This window comes from Homo sapiens, chromosome 11, assembly GCF_000001405.40.
Source record: "Homo sapiens chromosome 11, GRCh38.p14 Primary Assembly".
Taxonomy (NCBI): Eukaryota; Metazoa; Chordata; class Mammalia; order Primates; family Hominidae; genus Homo; species Homo sapiens.
In genome coordinates this window covers 40,675,385-40,692,304 of record NC_000011.10, presented here as the reverse complement: position 1 = coordinate 40,692,304, position 16,920 = coordinate 40,675,385, and the positions used below count along the sequence as shown (strand labels likewise).

Below are 16,920 nucleotides of genomic sequence, written 5' to 3'. Positions count from 1 at the left end.
CCCCCCCACCTCACCCCTGCTTGGATATTGAACACCTCCACTGACATTGTCAACAAGGCTATTATTCCAGTCATTGGTCAATACATATTCATTTTCTGCTGAATGCCTGGGGAATTGACACATTGTATGCTGATCTCTCTCGGGTTCATTTTCTCAGAGACAATAATGCTCAATCTGTATCATACACATTTCTGGTTTATGAGATGGGGAGGATTAAGTTGTAACTCACCTGCATGGAAACTCAGATTTAAAGGAGCAAATAAAAATAAATGGTGTCTATTTTCTGAAAGAAAAAGGTCTGGTCACTTCAATTGTTTAAGAAAAGTAGATTTCTGTCTTATCTTCATGAAAAGCCCCTGCCTGTCTGTGGAGACAGTGATGAAACAAAAATAATCCAATGCACCTCACATCCAAATCAGAAAGTTAACTATTCAAGGTGCACAGTTCTCTAAAATGAGCATTTATCACCCTCTTGGGTAAGAAACAAGTTTATTCAAAATACATAAATATTTTGGGAAGAGTCTGCATAACAAAGTATTTTGCTAAGAATTAAAATACTTGATATTAACATATATTCAGATTAATTCTAGTTGTCAAAATGCTTTATTCTTCTTCAGATTTGTAACCTGAGGCAAGCCCTAATTTTACCAATTCCAGTCACTTTCTTCAAAGGCTTTCCTCTAAGCTCACCATTGTGGAGAAGTGATTAACCTCATTATATACTGATTATTTCTTCTCTGAGTATTTCCTTGTACACCGGTATGTAGTTATTTTTGTATTCTCTTGCACAGTTGTTTTACATTTTTTCTCTAGTTTCATGAATGCCTGAAGGCATAATAATACCTAACTTGCTGGGTTGCTGTGAGGTTTATGTGAAAGAACATATGCTGATTCCCATCTCCTGGTCCTGTTAAAGTTCTTGTGATGAAGAGGAAATTGGATACTTGGGAGAGAGAAAAGCTTGGATAACCTGCTTAGCCCAGCAACTGTATCGGAAGTGCTCCCTATGAGTCCCTGTGGGCATTCTGGAGTGCTTCTCCAGGTACCAGTTTGTTATGGCACTTAGAGGTCCCTATGAACCCCACAAGACATGGGTTTTTTTTTGTTTTTTATCAAGTTTATAAAATTAATTTGGTTGGTTTTGATGTGCTTTTTTTGTGTTTATAAAATGGACTACTTGTTAGCGTTTCAAAATCAAACACATTCATATAAAAATCTAAATCTCTTGCTGCACATGGTCGAGGGGACCTGCATGGCTGAAGTTGAAGATAACAAGCAGGTTGTAGGTAGATGTTGTGAACTTTACCACTTCCGATTGTGTTATTCACCCTCCTGCTTGTTTCATTCATCACTGCTTCTTGCTTGGTCTCTGGAGCCATTTGACTTTGAGATTCCCTTCTGGAGTCCTTTCTTCTTTTAAGTTTTTATGGTTTGAGATATCAGCATCCTTTGAACAAATTCCAAAGTCCACCCTTGTCCTCTTTTTCTTCAAACTGCATCTTACAACTCTGCGTGTTTCCTCTCCTAAGCTAAAATATATGCACATTGAGGAAAGATTCCACTTCTCTTTTTATAAGCCTTTGGTACAGTGTTGTAGATAATTACACTAATTTCATTATTGCCACATTTGGGGATTTATAAATTGCATAAACATGTAGAGGTTTTTTAAACTGAAAAGTAGTCTATGGTTTAGAAAGTGAGTTTTGAAGTAAAAATCTCTCCGTTCTAAGAGACTGAATATGCCAATGTAAAATGGCCACGTCAACATCTTCCAATCAGAGCCTGAGACTTTCTGTTTTTTCGCCTATAAAGCTTTCCAACTCCCTTGCCTGTCTTTGCGTCTTTGATAACTGCAAGTGATGATGGGTGAACCCTTGCTACATTAAGCTCTGAATAAATAGGGTTTGCTTGTTCTCATTTGGGTGGCCTTCATTTATTTTCACCGTTCATATCCTATCACTGTCACTTAGTTAAATAACGTTTGGCATATTTCTTAACTTCTTTGAGCCTTAGTTTCCACATTGTAAAATGGAGATTCTAGTGGTATCTACCACATAGAATTAAATCAGTTAATAAAGTACGTGAAAAACTCATAAAAAAATGTCTAGTTCACTGTAAGCCCTTAATAGTCCTCAGTATTTGTAATCATTGTAATTATTTTTAGGTATGAGGCAACAAAGTGGAGAGGTTAACAGAATTGCTTGAAGTTCACAGAAAATAACTGTCTAAGCTGGGTGCAACCTTTCTACTGGCTTCAAGTCCAGTGCCCTCTCGTCCTTCAAATAATCTTTACTTTGAATGCATTGCACAATCAGCAAATGTTTTCTAAATGAACGCATGAAAGAATAAGTAAATGAGTTAGCCGACTAAATTGTTACATAAGTTCCAAATGCAACTATGGGTAAGGAGAGAAATCACCCAATCAACCAAAAAATACCTGTGTTCAGAACCTTGTTAAATATGGTAAGGAGAAAACATAATTTCAGAGATAGAATGTATATTAGTAATCATTTAGTCCAGTTGCTTGCAGACTTTTACAAACTCCACAATAATAGAAACCTAAAAGGGAAAAGTTTATGCAGTCATATCTAACTAGCAGCCAAGTCAAACTAACCTTAGCTGTTTTTTGGTGATAAATGAAAGACAGAAATTTTCAGTTTGTTCTTAATCTTGATTTTTCCTGTAAATATTATTTGAGAAGAATCCTCTTCAACTCTTTCGGAAAATGGATAAATCAATTTAGAGCTCTCTGTAGTAAGAACTTCAAACCAGATAAGTCATGATTGTTATAAATATTAATACTTGTTCATTATATTAATGTTATTAATAATGATAAATATAAGAACTCATGTTTACAATGATTTACACACATATCCCCTTGTGTGCTCATTATAATAAACTTGTGAAGCATGTAGGGTAGACATTAAAATACCATTTTTTTCATGAAGAAGACAAAGAGGAAAGAGGCTCAGAGTAATGCAATTCTTATAAGATGGATCAGGCAGTACTGAGTTCAAATCCCACATTCTTACCTGCTGAGCCTCTCTAAGCCTCCACAAATGTGAACATTCGTAGTACAGATCCCATTGGTTAGTATGAGATTTAAACAAGATAAAGCAGAGATTCCAGAATCAAAACCATTGTTCTTTGTTCCTTTTCTCATTTATACATCTGAAGAGAAGATATTGTAATCTCTACTACAGTCCATAGCACTGTCGTTTCTTATCTAGGGCTCTTTTTCTATTTTAAATTAGAAAAAAAAAATAATAGTGTTTACAAGAAAAGTATCCTCATCCGCTGTTTTCCAACTGGAATAGCCTTAGGTGAAAAATTTCAAAGCTAGAATATCATTCTCCGTTGTTTTCTTATTTACACCTCGGTGAAGTACATGCTGTAACCTCTAGCATGCCCCAGCCCTGAAAATGATAAAGTTCTTCCACCAGCTGGTTTGCAAGTTCAAATTGCTTGCTCTCTTTGCAGAAGCACTTGAAAGCCACTGTGGTTCATTATGTGTGAAAGTGTAAATTGGTCTCCCGCCAATCAAACACGTCTTCTAAATATCTGTCCTGTGAGAATTGGCCTTCTATGTCATCTTTCGTGTCATTTCTTGTAAAAAGTTTTCCACAGCATTTCACCCCTCTGACCTTTCCACTGACGTAGGAGCATTTGGTGTCCACAGAGCATCCATCCTATGGCTGCAGCAATCGGACTCTCAGCCATCTCTATGACCTGTCATCTCCTTATCTGATGCCCTGCTCTGCACTGTGGACTCCTAGTGTATGAGAGCCCAAGGCTTTCAACATTTGATGCCTAATTTCTGAATTCTTAATTCAGTAAATATTTTTGGAATAAATGAGGAAATGGTTAAGTAAGTAAAAGCTGCCAGATCACTATAGCAGTGATATAATGGGAAAAACAAGTCTTTTTCTTGTTCTTTAGAAGTTTGTTGTGTCCTTTACCATGCTTTTGACTAAATTCACAGGTAAAGCTAACAAGGGAGGATCTTGAAACAGTCCTGTTGAAATCAGCTATATTTGCAAATGTTAAGTTAGGTCTTCAGTTCCACACACCTAACTGCTGTCTGGGCAGCTCTGTGTGATAACATCTACCCATAGCAGCAGCTCATTTTTACCTTCTGCTCTGAGATTAAAAAACTAATTACGGGATAATGAATTTGTAATGCTGCATAAGACAAATCTGTTGCTGAGTGACTGACAGAAATAATTCAAATTATTTTTGTAAGCTCCCATTCCATTCATTGCCAGGCATTATTATGGAACAATAGTAGATTACAATATCCTCAGGAAAAAAAAAAAGTCTGTAAAGCAGGGCTATGCTTATTTAAATATTGTTTATCCAGGTATTTATTATAATAAGATAATGATCTTACTGTGAATTAGCTATTGAGTAAGATGTTCTCATTGTTTGTAAAGTTTAATTCTATGCCAGAAAATAATCTTCGGAAGTAGTCACTGTAACAGCTAATGAATAAATATGAAGCTTATTTTCAAGCCATTTACACATTAGGAAATTTAGGTTTTAGCCCTCATTATTTTATCACATTTAATATAAAATTATAGACAGGTTTTGTCTTGATAAGTGAAATAATTTGCATGCATCAATCATAGCAAGAAAGACAAAGTTTAGCATTTCTCATATATTAATACTTATGTACAATTGGAGTTTTAGCTTGAATGGGCAAAGAAATATTTCTTTAGTAAAATTAGTGTGTATCTCATTGATTGAACAGCAGTGTGTATTTAATCAAATACTATTTATTAAGCAACAATATTTACTTATTACTGCGCTGAATATCAGAGTGTAGGGGAATTAAAATATGATCATGACCATCAGAGGCACTACACTCTCATTGAAAAGAGGATCGATCTATCTATCTATCTAATAGATAGATATACACACACATACACACATATACTTACAAACATACACACTGAATAAATGTAGAAATGTGGTAATTGATATTTTTATTTGGACTTGAAGGCTTCCTGATTCTCAAAGGTATATTTGGGAAGGTAACATGGCATAATGGGTTTGGAGTCCTGGATTGAATCTCAGCTCCATTATTTGCCAGTTGTGTGACTTTGGGCATTGTATATAAATTATCTAGCCTACAGGTTCTCAAACTGTTGCACTTGAGAGAGCCTTAAAAACCACAATGTCAAAACATCAGATCTTAAAAAACAAGTTTCAAGATTATTTCAATTAGCATCCAAGCCTGAGAGTGATTAATCTAGCTCACCATTTCTCAAACCGTAATGTGGGTACCAATTGCCCGGTTAGCTAACGAAAGTGCAAGTTCTCATACAGGAAGTCTTGCGTGTGGCCTGAGGTTTTGTATTACCAATAGGTAATATGATTGCCACTGGTCTGTGGCCTACTCTTGAAGTGGCAAGATTTTAGCCTACAATTTTATCTTCTTTAAACTGAAGATGTCTCTTGGAGTGTTGAGATAAACACTAGTCTTTAGGTACTCTACCAATCTCGTAGCAGATGTACCCTATAATATGGTTATAATAGAGATTTCAAGTCAATTTTTCTCAAACTCTTAATATAATTAGAGAAACACTGCTCTTGTAAGATGAATTAAATAAGACTTTTAAAAAAATTATTTTGAACCGTTTCATTTTCCTCTTAATGGGGAAAAGGCTACTCATCATTCCAGCCCCTGAAGCTTGTACAGCCACTTCAGGTCACACCTATCCTCCTTTAGCTCCACAGTTCTGGACTCTGGCTACCTATTAGAGAATCACCTGAGAAAATTTCACAGTATACTCAACGTCTGGGCCGCCCCCGGTGAAGTTAGTGAGTATCTCTCGGGGTAATGGGAGGCATCAGCACATTTTAAAAGCTGCCCCAGTGATTCCAACATGTGCTCTTGGTTGTGCACCACAACTCCACCTAATTCTCTACATTCCACTAGCTTGAGCTTTTACTCAGTTAGCACACACTGAGCTTCCTCTGTGTGCCAGTGTTATGCTGGGCTGTGGAACTCATAAAAATATGAATGATAAATAGCAAACATGTATCAAGATAGCCACTATACTCTTTTTACAACAAATCAATGGTAGATACTGTTATTGTTATCATCTGGATGATAAAACTGAGACTTAGAAAGGTCATGAAACATGTCCAGGATCCCAAGGCAGTGAGCAGGAATTCAAACCCCAAAGTCTTAGTCACATGACAACCTTGCTTTCTGCAAGGTTATTGTAGAGTATATGATGAGGTTGAAAAAAGTGCTGTGGGGCCATAGAAGTAGTTTATCTTGGGATATCTTCTTCACAATGTCCCATCCTGAATTTCTTGATCTTTTTTTTTTAATGACTGTTAAGTTTATCTACTCATATACAGTGTAGAATTCTTAGAGTCAAGGATCATTTTTATAATTGTACGATTGAATCTTTCAACCTAGGACAAGGTTGAAGACAAAGTAAATCTTCCCATTCTTCCTCTCTCTCTCTGTGTTTGTATACACATATATGTGTACACATTTATATTTATATTTAAGCTGTCTTTTAACTCTTATGTGTACAGAATTGTTCTGCCAGTACTGATCAAGTTCTCTCTCTTCTCTGATTTAATATTATTATTTTTCTATCTCAGCCTATATCCTCATTCTTATCTCCATTATCCTCATTAACTATTCACTTTTGTGTAAGTGTGTCCTCGAATTCTATTTTCCAGGTTTTCTGGGTAGTGATACATTTCAAATTAATATATATTATTATTCTGTGTGTTTTATAGTTATAAAAATCTTACTTTAAATTTTGTTGTTTTCTTAAATTTTCTATAAATATTCTCTTTAGATCTATTCAGCTTGCCCACCTTAAATCTTGTTTATAATTTCTGATTATCACATTTTATTTTATGGTATGCATTTATATATTTTACTTATCCATTCACTTTTTATTAAAAAAATTGAAGTTGCTTTTATTTATTGTTTTCATTCACACAAAAAGACTGCTAATGGATCTCATTATGACATACAGTGAAAAAGTTTTATGGAGATACATAACATAGAAAGAAATTTTGGGGTCATATACTTAAAATCTTTGAAATAATTTGGCCTTCAAAGAAGAGGTGCCAGTTGCATCTCCCACTAATTCCAGTTATTCACATCCTGTCTTGTGTTTTATTTTTTTAGCAGGTCAATCTGATTGATATCAAATGCTATTTCACTGTTTTAGTTACAATTTTTCTGAGTATTAGAAAGTGTGAACACAGTTTATTAGACATTTGGGTTTTCTCTTTGTTAAGAAACTTATTTATACCTACTATTCATATTTTTCTAATGAGTGTATTATATTTTTCTCAAAGAATGCAGGAGTTTTTATACAAATTATTTTTAGATTTTGAAAATATCTTCTTCTATTATATTACAAATTATCTAACTTTGTCCAACAAAATCATCTTTTTTATGAGAAATAATATAGAATGCTAGTTTGAGCTTATTTTAGCTCCTTATTTTCATTGTACTCTAGTCCTGATTGTCACTGGTAACAAGTTTGTTGTCAAACTAATTGTTCCTCATTTGCATGTAATATATTTTTTCCTCTCTGATTGTTTTTTAAAATGTCTTTTTTTCTTTGGTATTTATTTGGTAAATTGCAAATAAATTCACTACAATATTTTTGGAAATGTATTATTTTTACTTTTTTTGCATTCCTTAATATGAAAATTTATAACCCTCTCAATTCTAAAAAAAATCCTTCAACTCTTTGTTTATTACTCTGCCAAGATTTTTGCATATCCCCATTTATGAAATTATTTTAGATATATGTTAGGTCTTCTCACTGAAAATTCAATTTTTCTTAACTTTTAATATCTTTTATGCATTTACCTCAATGTGATTGATTATGAGTTACTTCCTTATCTCTATCTTCCAGTTCACTAACATTACTTTCAGTAGGGTCTAATTCAAAATTTAATGCGTACATTTAGTTTTTTTTAATTTCTGTGATTGTACTTTTCAAACTTCTAGTAGTTTTATTTGATTCTTTTTTAAATGCTTCCTCTTCTTTATTCAAAAATTGAATTACTTTATTCTCTTTTCATTAAATTATGTTATGTCTATAATATATGTAACATACATTTTGTAAAGTCTTTAGCTTTTTTTTATTTCTTCAATTTTAAAATATTTTTATTTTTACCCCAGCTATTTACTACATCTGCTAAATTTTCATTCAAGGTGGAAATATTGTGTAAGTATTTTGTAACGTTGTAAAGTGAGCTTATTTTTACTGAGATTTTATTTGTGGGGATAACTCCAGCATAGCTTTGCCAATGTTTATAAGAGTTGTACCAGTGATATCATTAGAGTTGGCATAGATTTATGCTAATTTGGGGTTCTAAGTTCCCATAGATGTGATGCATTTAAACTCAGTGTGCACAAGCAGCAAGCCTGGCGTTTTAGCAGAGTTTATGTTTTCCCTTTTCAAATCTTTGGTATGACATGCTTCCTCATTGGCCCTCTGTACTGGTGGGTGGATTTTTCTATTCTTTCTTTTTATGAGGAAGTCAAGCCCTAGTGGGGCTGCAACTTTTTGCAGTTTCCCTAACACTGCCTCATGCAGAACCAAACCTTTTCTACAGTTTTCGTATGATCTTTAAATAAATACATATCTACTTCCTCCCTCATCCCCTTACCTCCACACTTACATGAGACAGCTTCAGTACATATGATTCATTCTGTGTTCCTTCCATCCCCTCCTTTTTCCTCTGTCACCTAGGAATTTCACTTTTTTTTATATCAGTTATTAATTTTAAAATGACAATTTTTAAATCCATCATTTCCGAGCATCTGTTGCAGAATTTTCAAGTTTACTTTGTCAACAATTTTGCCATGTATAGAGACAGCACTATAAGGAATTGTTCTTAAGATTATAATATGAATACTATATTAGGCAACAGTCCCTATTTCAATACTTGAACATACGTTCTAAATAATAGGAGTGTTTGATTTCTCATATATTAATGGCACAGTGTCATGTGGGTATGAGTGGTGCTGGTAGTGGAGAATGCTAAAGGGATGCCGAGCATACCTATACTTACGGATATCCAGTGGTCCCCAGCAAGAGGGCAGCATTGCCATAATTTTTTAACCCACCACCTTCGCATCAAGCCTTTGCTGCTTTCCCGCATAGAACTAGCATGAGACAAAAAAATGTGGAGAAGAGAAAGAACATAGCTGGAAAGTTCTTCCTTGTATTCTCCTCGTATGTTATCACCTGATATTAGTCTACTCTTGGTAACCGTTTCTTTATTTCTTTTGCATCCAGCCATCTTCTATCTTCTGAGGTTCTCACAATTTCATAAACATACCTCTCTCTTCTATAATATTTTCTGCCTTTGGACGTGGGGAACAGCAAGTAACCCAGCTAATTCTCCATCCTATCTAGAATATCTCAAATAAATATTTGTTGATCACTCTATTATCAGACTATAGGTCTGTGACTTTATCTGTAATTTGTTGTGAAAGAGTGTATAAACAGAGATATCTTTATTTTATTTATTTATTTATTTATTTATTTATTTATTGAGACAGAGTCTCCCTCTGTCACCCAAGCTGGAGTGCAACCACCATCTCCAGGGTTCAAGTGATTCTCATGCCTCTCCCAAGTAGCTGGGATTACAGGCATTCACCACCACAGCTGCTAATTTTTGTATTTTTAGTAGAGATTGGGTTTCGCCATTTGGGCCAGGCTGGTCTCGAACTCCTGATCTCAGGTGATCTACCTGCCTCGGCCTCCCAAAGTGCTGGGATTATAGGTGTGAACCACTGCACCCAGACAAACAAAGATATCTTTAGATGAAAAGTGTTACATAATTGAAAAGCAGTCCTTAAGGCCCATACTGTTGGTATGAGGCACCCAGTAAGAACCACACTTGACAAATTTTTATAAGGCAGTGTTTGAGTGGCAGATATTCATTCATTCATCCCTTTAGTAACTATTGAATACTTTATTTACCCCTTTTCTAGCACAGTGAGTTACTTTTATGCTTTTTTTTTTTTTCAAGGTGGGGCCTCACTTTGTCACCCAGGCTGGAGTGCAGTGGTGCAATCATGGCTCACTGCAGCCTTAACTTCCCAGGCTCAGGTGATTCTCCCACCTCAGCCTCCTGGGTAGCTGGGACTAAAGACATGTGCCACCATGCCCGGCTAATTTTTGTATTTTTTAAATTTTATTTTTCTGTAAGTAATTGGGGTGCAGGTGGTATTTGGTTACATGAGTAATTTCTTTAGTGGAGATTTGTGAGAGCCTGGAGCACCCATCACCCAAGCAGTATACACTGCACCATATTTGTTGTCTTTTATCCCTCACCCACCTCCCACTCTTCCCCCAAAGTTCCCAAAGTCCATTGAATCATTTTTATGCCTCTGTGTCCTCATAGCTTAGCTCCCACATATCAGTGAGAAAATACGATGTTTGGTTTTCCATTCCTGAGTTACTTCACTTAGAATAATAGTCTCTAATCTCATCCAGGTCATTGCAAATGCTGTTAATTCATTCCTTTTTATGGCTGAGTAGTATTCCATCATATTTTTTGTAGAGACGGGGTTTCACCATGCTGCCCAGGCTGGTCTCAAACTCCGGGGCTCAAGGGGTCCACCTGCCTCAGCTTCCGAAAGTGTTGGGATTACAGGTGTAAGCCACAACACCCAGCCATTTTATGCCTAGTCTTTATATTTATTAAACTCCTTCTCATTCTATGAACTGAACAATTAGATTTTTCTCAGTTATATAAAATATTACATAAATAAAGCTTTAAAGCTTTATTTTTCACTACCACATTGCCAGTGCAAAGACTTTCTCACATAGAAATTCCTACATAAGCACCCTATTACATTTGCCATTCACTGTACAATGTTTTGGAGTACAACAAATGAAAACACACAGAGCCCCTTCATAGAAGTGTATTGTGTATTGGGGCAGACAGTTTTCAAAGGATTAATTAATAATACTGTGACTCTTAGGTTTTTTGAAAGCATAGACAGACATGGATTACATTCAACCTGTATTTATGTACTCTTGTACTGGTTGTTTTGAATAATGCCTGTTCTGATGAGACCAGTGTCTATTTTGGTTCATCAGTGCCCATGCTCTATTGGCTATTAAATGTTTATATTACCTCTGCTATTAGGCTGCTCTGAGAGCCTAGGGAAGTATCACTTGAGATTTCCACCCACTGCTCCTTCTTTTACTCCCCATACTCAATGCAAAAATGTAAACAATTTTTCATAGACTCATAGGTCAATATCTGATTGTATTACACCTGTGCTGTCCAATAATGTAGCCACTAGCTTCATGTAGCTATTGATCACTTAAAATGTAACATGTTCAAATTGAGATGTGCTGTAGGTATAAAATACACATCCAATTTTGAAGACTTAAAATTCAAAATACCTTATTCTTTCTATAATGATTGCATGTTAAAGTTACATTATTTTGCATATGTTGGGTTTAATAAATTATGTCATTCAAATTGCTTACACCTGTGTATAAATCCATTTTCACGCTGATAAAGACATACCTGAGATTGGGCAATTTATAAAAGAAAGAAGTTTATTGAACTTACAGTCCCATATGGCTGATGGGGCCTCACAATCATGGCGGAAAGCAAGGAGGAGCAAGTCATACCTTATGTGAATGGCAGCAGGCAAACAAAATAGCTTGTGCAGAGAAACTCATGCTTTTAACACCATCAAATCTCTTGAGACCCTTTCAGTATCACGAGAACAGCATGGGAAAGATCCGCCTCCAAGATTCAATCATCTCCCACTGGGTCCCTCGAACAACAGGTGGGACTTATGGGAGCTACAAGATTAGATTTGGGTGGGGACACAGAGCCAAACCATATCCTTCTGCCCCTGGCCCCTCACAAATCTCATATCTTCACATTTCAAAATCAATTATGCCTCCCAACAGTCCCCCAGTCTCAACTTATTTCAGGATTAACTAAACAGTCCACAGTCCAAAGTCTCATCCAAGACAAGGTGAATACCTTCCACCTGTAAGCCTGTAAAATCAAAAGCAAGTTAGTTACTTCCTAAGTACAATGGGGACACAGGTATTTGGTAAATACAGCCATTGCAAATGGGAGAAATTGGCCGAAGCTTAAAGGCTAAAGGCCCCATGCAAGTTCGATTATCCAGCAGGACAGTCAAATCTTAAAGCTGTAAAATGATCTCCTTTGATTCCACGTCTCATAAACAGATCACACTGATACAAGAGGTGGGTTCCCATAATCTTGGGTAGCGCCACCCCTAGGGCTTTGCAAGGTATATCCCCCCTAATAGCTGCTTTCACGGGCTGGCGTTGAGTGTCCATGGCTGTTCCAGGTGTGTGGTGCAAGCTATCAGTGGATCTACCATTCCGGGGTCTGGAGGATGGTGGCCCTCTTCTCACAGTTCACTAGGCAGTACCCCAGTAGGGATTATGTGTGGGGGATCTGACCCCACATTTCCCTTCTGCACTGCCATAGCAGAGTTTCTCTATGAGATCCCTGCCCCTGCAGCAAACTTTTGCCTGGGCATCCAGGCATCCTCATACATCTGAGATCTAGTCAGAGGTTCCCAAATCTCAGTTCTTGACTTCTGTGTACTCACAGGCTCAACACTATGAGGAAGCTGCCAAGGCTTGGGGCTTCCACCTTCTAAAGCAACAGCCCAAGCTGTACCTTGGCCCCTTTCATCAGTCACGGCTGGAGATGCTGGGATGCAAGGCCCCAAGTCCCTAGACTGCACACAGCAGAGGGATCCTGGGCCCAGCCCATGAAACAATTTTTTGCTCCTAAACTTCCAGGCCTGTGATGGGGAGGGGCTGCTGCAAAGGTCTCTGACATGCCCTGGAGACATTTTTTCAATTGTCTTGGTGATTAACATTCCGCTCCTCGTTACTTATGCAAATTTCTGCACCTGGCTTGAATTTCTCCTCAGAGAATGGGGTTTTCTTTCCTATTGCATTGTCAGGCTGCAAATTTTCCAAACTTTAATGTTCTGTTTCCCTTTAAAAAAAAAGGTGCCTTTAACAGCACCCAAGTCAACTCTTGAATTCTTTGCTGCTTAGAAACTTCTTCCACCAGAAACCCTAAATCATCTCTCTCAACTTCAAAGTTCCACAAATCTATAGCGCAGGGGCAAAATGCTGCCAGTCTCTTTGCTAAAACATAACAAGGGTCACCTTTGCTCTAGTTCCCAACAAGTTCCTCATCTCCATCTGAGACCACCTCAGCCTGGAACTTATTGTTCATATCACTATCAGCATTTTTGTCAAAGCCATTCAACAAGTGTGTAGGGAGTTCCAAACTTTCCCACATTTTCCTGTCTTCTGAGCCCTCCAAACTGTTCCAACCTCTGCCTGTTACCCAGTTCCAAAGTTGCTTCCACATTTTTAGGTACCTTTATTGTAGCACCCCCCTACCCAGTACCAATTAACTGTATTATCCCGTTCTCATGCTGCTAATAAAGACATGCTGGTGGCTGGGTAATTTATACAGGAAAGAGGTTTCACTGACTCACAGTTCCACATGGCTGGGGGGCCTAACAATCCTGGCAGAAGATGAAGGAAGAGCAAAGGGACGTCTTACGTGGCGGCGGGCAAAGAACTTGTGCAGGGGAATTACCCTTTATAAAACTATCAGATCTTGTGAAACATTCACTATCATGAGAACAGCAAGGAGAAGACCCACCCCTATGTTTTAATTAACTCCCACTGGGTCCCTCCTATGATGCATGGGGATTATGGGAGCTACAATTCAAGATGAGATTTGGGTGGAGACACAGCCAAACCATATCATATTAGAATAAAATAATATAGAATACGTAATCCTAAACTATTTTAAAATCAGTTGGGCCAAAATATACCAAGGAAATAACAATCCAGAAAAACCACAGAAGGTTATTCAGAACAATCGAAAAGTAATATCTGGTGCGCATGGAAATGAAGATGGATTAAATGGACACTGGGGACTATTAGATGGGGGAGAAGGAGGAGGGGCTCCAGGGCTGAAATTCTACCTACTGGGTAGTATACTCATTACTTGGGTGATGAATTCATTTGTACTCCAAACCTCAGTATTACACGATATACCTTTGTAACAAACCAGTACTTATACCTCCTAATTCTAAAATAAAAGTTGAAAAAAAAAGAAAAGTGATGTGTGAGGAATAGTATTTATCTAGTATTAGCAGAACCCACCCTACCCCCAAGATAGTGGTTTGCATCTCAGAATTTTATTCTCTCAGATAAAGGAAGGAAGACATTGGTACTCTTAAGGTTACTATGGCAGCTCCACGGAGCCATCCAAGTCACAGGCTTCTTCCAACTCTCCGTTCTATCATTCCTGGTTTATGTGCCTTATCTTTACCACTCAAGATAGCACGTAAAACTCCGGATATCAATGCTGTATTTCAGGAAGCAGATTGGAGGTCATGTAAAGAAATGTATCATCCTTCTCTTTAAGAGATGTCCTTGTAATCACCCCAAACAGCTCTGCTCACGTGTCACTGGCCAGAATTCAGTCATGTGAACCATTTCACCACGTGAAGGCTGAAAAATCTGTGTTTTGTTTTTCTTCTGTTTTTAGCTGAGCAGCAAACACACTGCTAAAGATTGGCAGTTTCGTTATTAAGAAATATAAGAAAACAGATTCTGGAGTCAGCAATAATCCATATTTCACTTCCCAAATATTTATGCAAACCCTTCCTCCTAAAACTAAAAAATTTCTCTAGTTACTGTATCTATACATAATCAAGAAAATCTAGGTGATGGGAGGTTCTTTCCTTCAGGTCCAGACATGCTTTTATTTGATCTAAAGACTTACATATTAAATGTGTCTATTATTGGATACTAACACATCTAATATATGTTCATATGTTTGTCTTGTTTTGTTTGAGTTGAGACAGAGTCTTGCTCTGCCACCCAGGCTGGAGTGCTGTGGTGCGATTTTGGGTCACTGCAACCTCCGCCTCCCAGGTTCAAGCAATTCTCCTGCCTCAGCCTCCCAAGTAACTGGGATTACAGGTATCTGCCACCATGCGCGGCTAATTTTTGTATTTTTAGTAGGGACAGAGTTTCACCATGTTGGCCAGGCTGGTGTCGATCTCCTGTCCTCAAGTGATCCACCCCTCTCTGCCTCCCAAAGTGCTATGATTACAGGCATGAGCCACCACGCCCAGCAAATGTATGAAAAGTAAAGAAAGAAGAGAATTTAAAACCTCTTTTCTAGAAAAGAGAAATATGTGAAACACAGGGGGAGTCATGGATTAACCACAATGATCATATCTGCTGGGCAGGAATGGTAAAAAGCTCTTTGTCTTGCCTCTGTTTCTCCTGATGTTTTTCATTGTCCATTAATGTGCCACATTTGAGAGGTAAATTGGGAAATACACCATTTTCTGTGGAGCGATACCCGAGAAACTGGGGAATGTTTTTAGGATTAACAGGCACAGGATTGGTATTATTTTGGTAACTTAATTCTCTGAAGTTTGTTAATTATTTGGCCTATTTGCTTGTAGCCCATCCCATGTGCAAGTAAACATATCCAAAGTTCTTGTCTAAGACATATTGAGCCAAATTGGTCAAGATTATCAAAATTGGATAAATATAGCCTAAAAGAAGGACTGAGAAGAGGCATGATAGCCATCTTATAATGCTGACAAATTGTCATGGAGCAAAGGAAAAATTTATCTTGCATAGTTTTGGAAGGCAAAACATTGTGTAATAGGAATAAATTAAAAGGAGGCAGGTATTGATGAAGCTTGAAGGAAATGAAACAGAATAAAACACCCTTTCCAATAATTGGAACTGCCCCAAATCTGTATGTTTGCCTGATGAGATTCCCTCACTGGTTTTCAAAATGTCTACGGAGGGAATTCCTACAGTGTAGGAGGTTAAATTAGATGATCTCTAGGGTTTCATCTAACCCTGCCTTCCATGTTTCTATGATTCAATGAAACCAAAAGACAAGGATTGGACAAGTATTGATTCAGAAGAACCCAGAAAGGCATGAAGAAACTACAGAAACACATCAAACTGTCTTGCAAGCTGCCATAAAAGATTTATGCTACTCCCTTAAGAGCAGCCAAAAAGTTAACGTTGTTCAGTCTTCATCATCTAGTTGGCTGTTTGATTTATGTGAATTACTGACACAAGGTTTTAGAAGTTGTCACAAAACAAAAGGTCTCTATAAGATATATGTTGTTCTTTAGAAAACCTATTTTGTTCTACAGAAAATGTGTTGATTTTTGTGAATAAATTGTTAGTAACTCCTGGGATTTGTGTTGGTGAGTTTTATGGAGAACAAATTATATCTTAGCAACACCTAAGACCATAGTTACTATACTTAAGAGTTTTCTTTTCCTATTGCTTTGAATTGTTCACATGAACAGTGGGAGTTTCCTATATGACTTTTCTTCAAATTTAGAAATTTAGACTGAGTTCTTTAATAAACATATCCTGTTCCAAAAAAACTTTAACAGAAACTTCTGATTTTTCAGAAAGATACCTAGGCATTCAAAAGACTGTGTGAATATATCCAAGATACAAATAGAACATGTTATTCTGTAAATAGTTGTTGAGTTCTTATACACTTACAATGCACCAGATGTTGAACTTGGTATTGAAGATAAAGTGGTGAACAAGTCAGACACAGCCATCTTTGTGGTGCATACAGTCCAGCAGCTGGGGAGTCATATAAGATAAATTATAAAAGTGCTGTGAGAGGGGAAGATGGTGACACAAGGGAGATTACAAAAAGGGAAACTAGCCTAGATTAGTAAAAAGGGATGCAGCGTTGAGGCCCAAGTGTAAGAAAAGTGTGAGCAACTCTGCTTAACGTGGTTTCCCAGCTACCCTACTATCTCTGTCCTGAGTTAACACCTGTGACCAGGGCTGATCC

The 16,920-nt window shown here is 37.1% G+C and overlaps 1 protein-coding gene across 18 annotated transcripts in view, besides 1 other annotated feature; it reads left to right on the top strand.

Moving 5' to 3' along the window:
• Positions 1 to 16,920, top strand: part of LRRC4C (leucine rich repeat containing 4C) — a 1,345,454-nt gene that overhangs the window by 767,348 nt on the left and 561,186 nt on the right. The gene's annotated exons all lie outside the window — the stretch shown is intronic.
• Positions 12,590 to 13,175: an enhancer, noted in NCBI's record as "NANOG-H3K27ac hESC enhancer chr11:40700680-40701265 (GRCh37/hg19 assembly coordinates)". NCBI's record gives its function as "activates a minimal SCP1, AML or CMV promoter by ChIP-STARR-seq in primed H9 embryonic stem cells {active_cell/tissue: H9 hESC(primed)}" and the evidence as "EXISTENCE:reporter gene assay evidence [ECO:0000049][PMID:30033119]".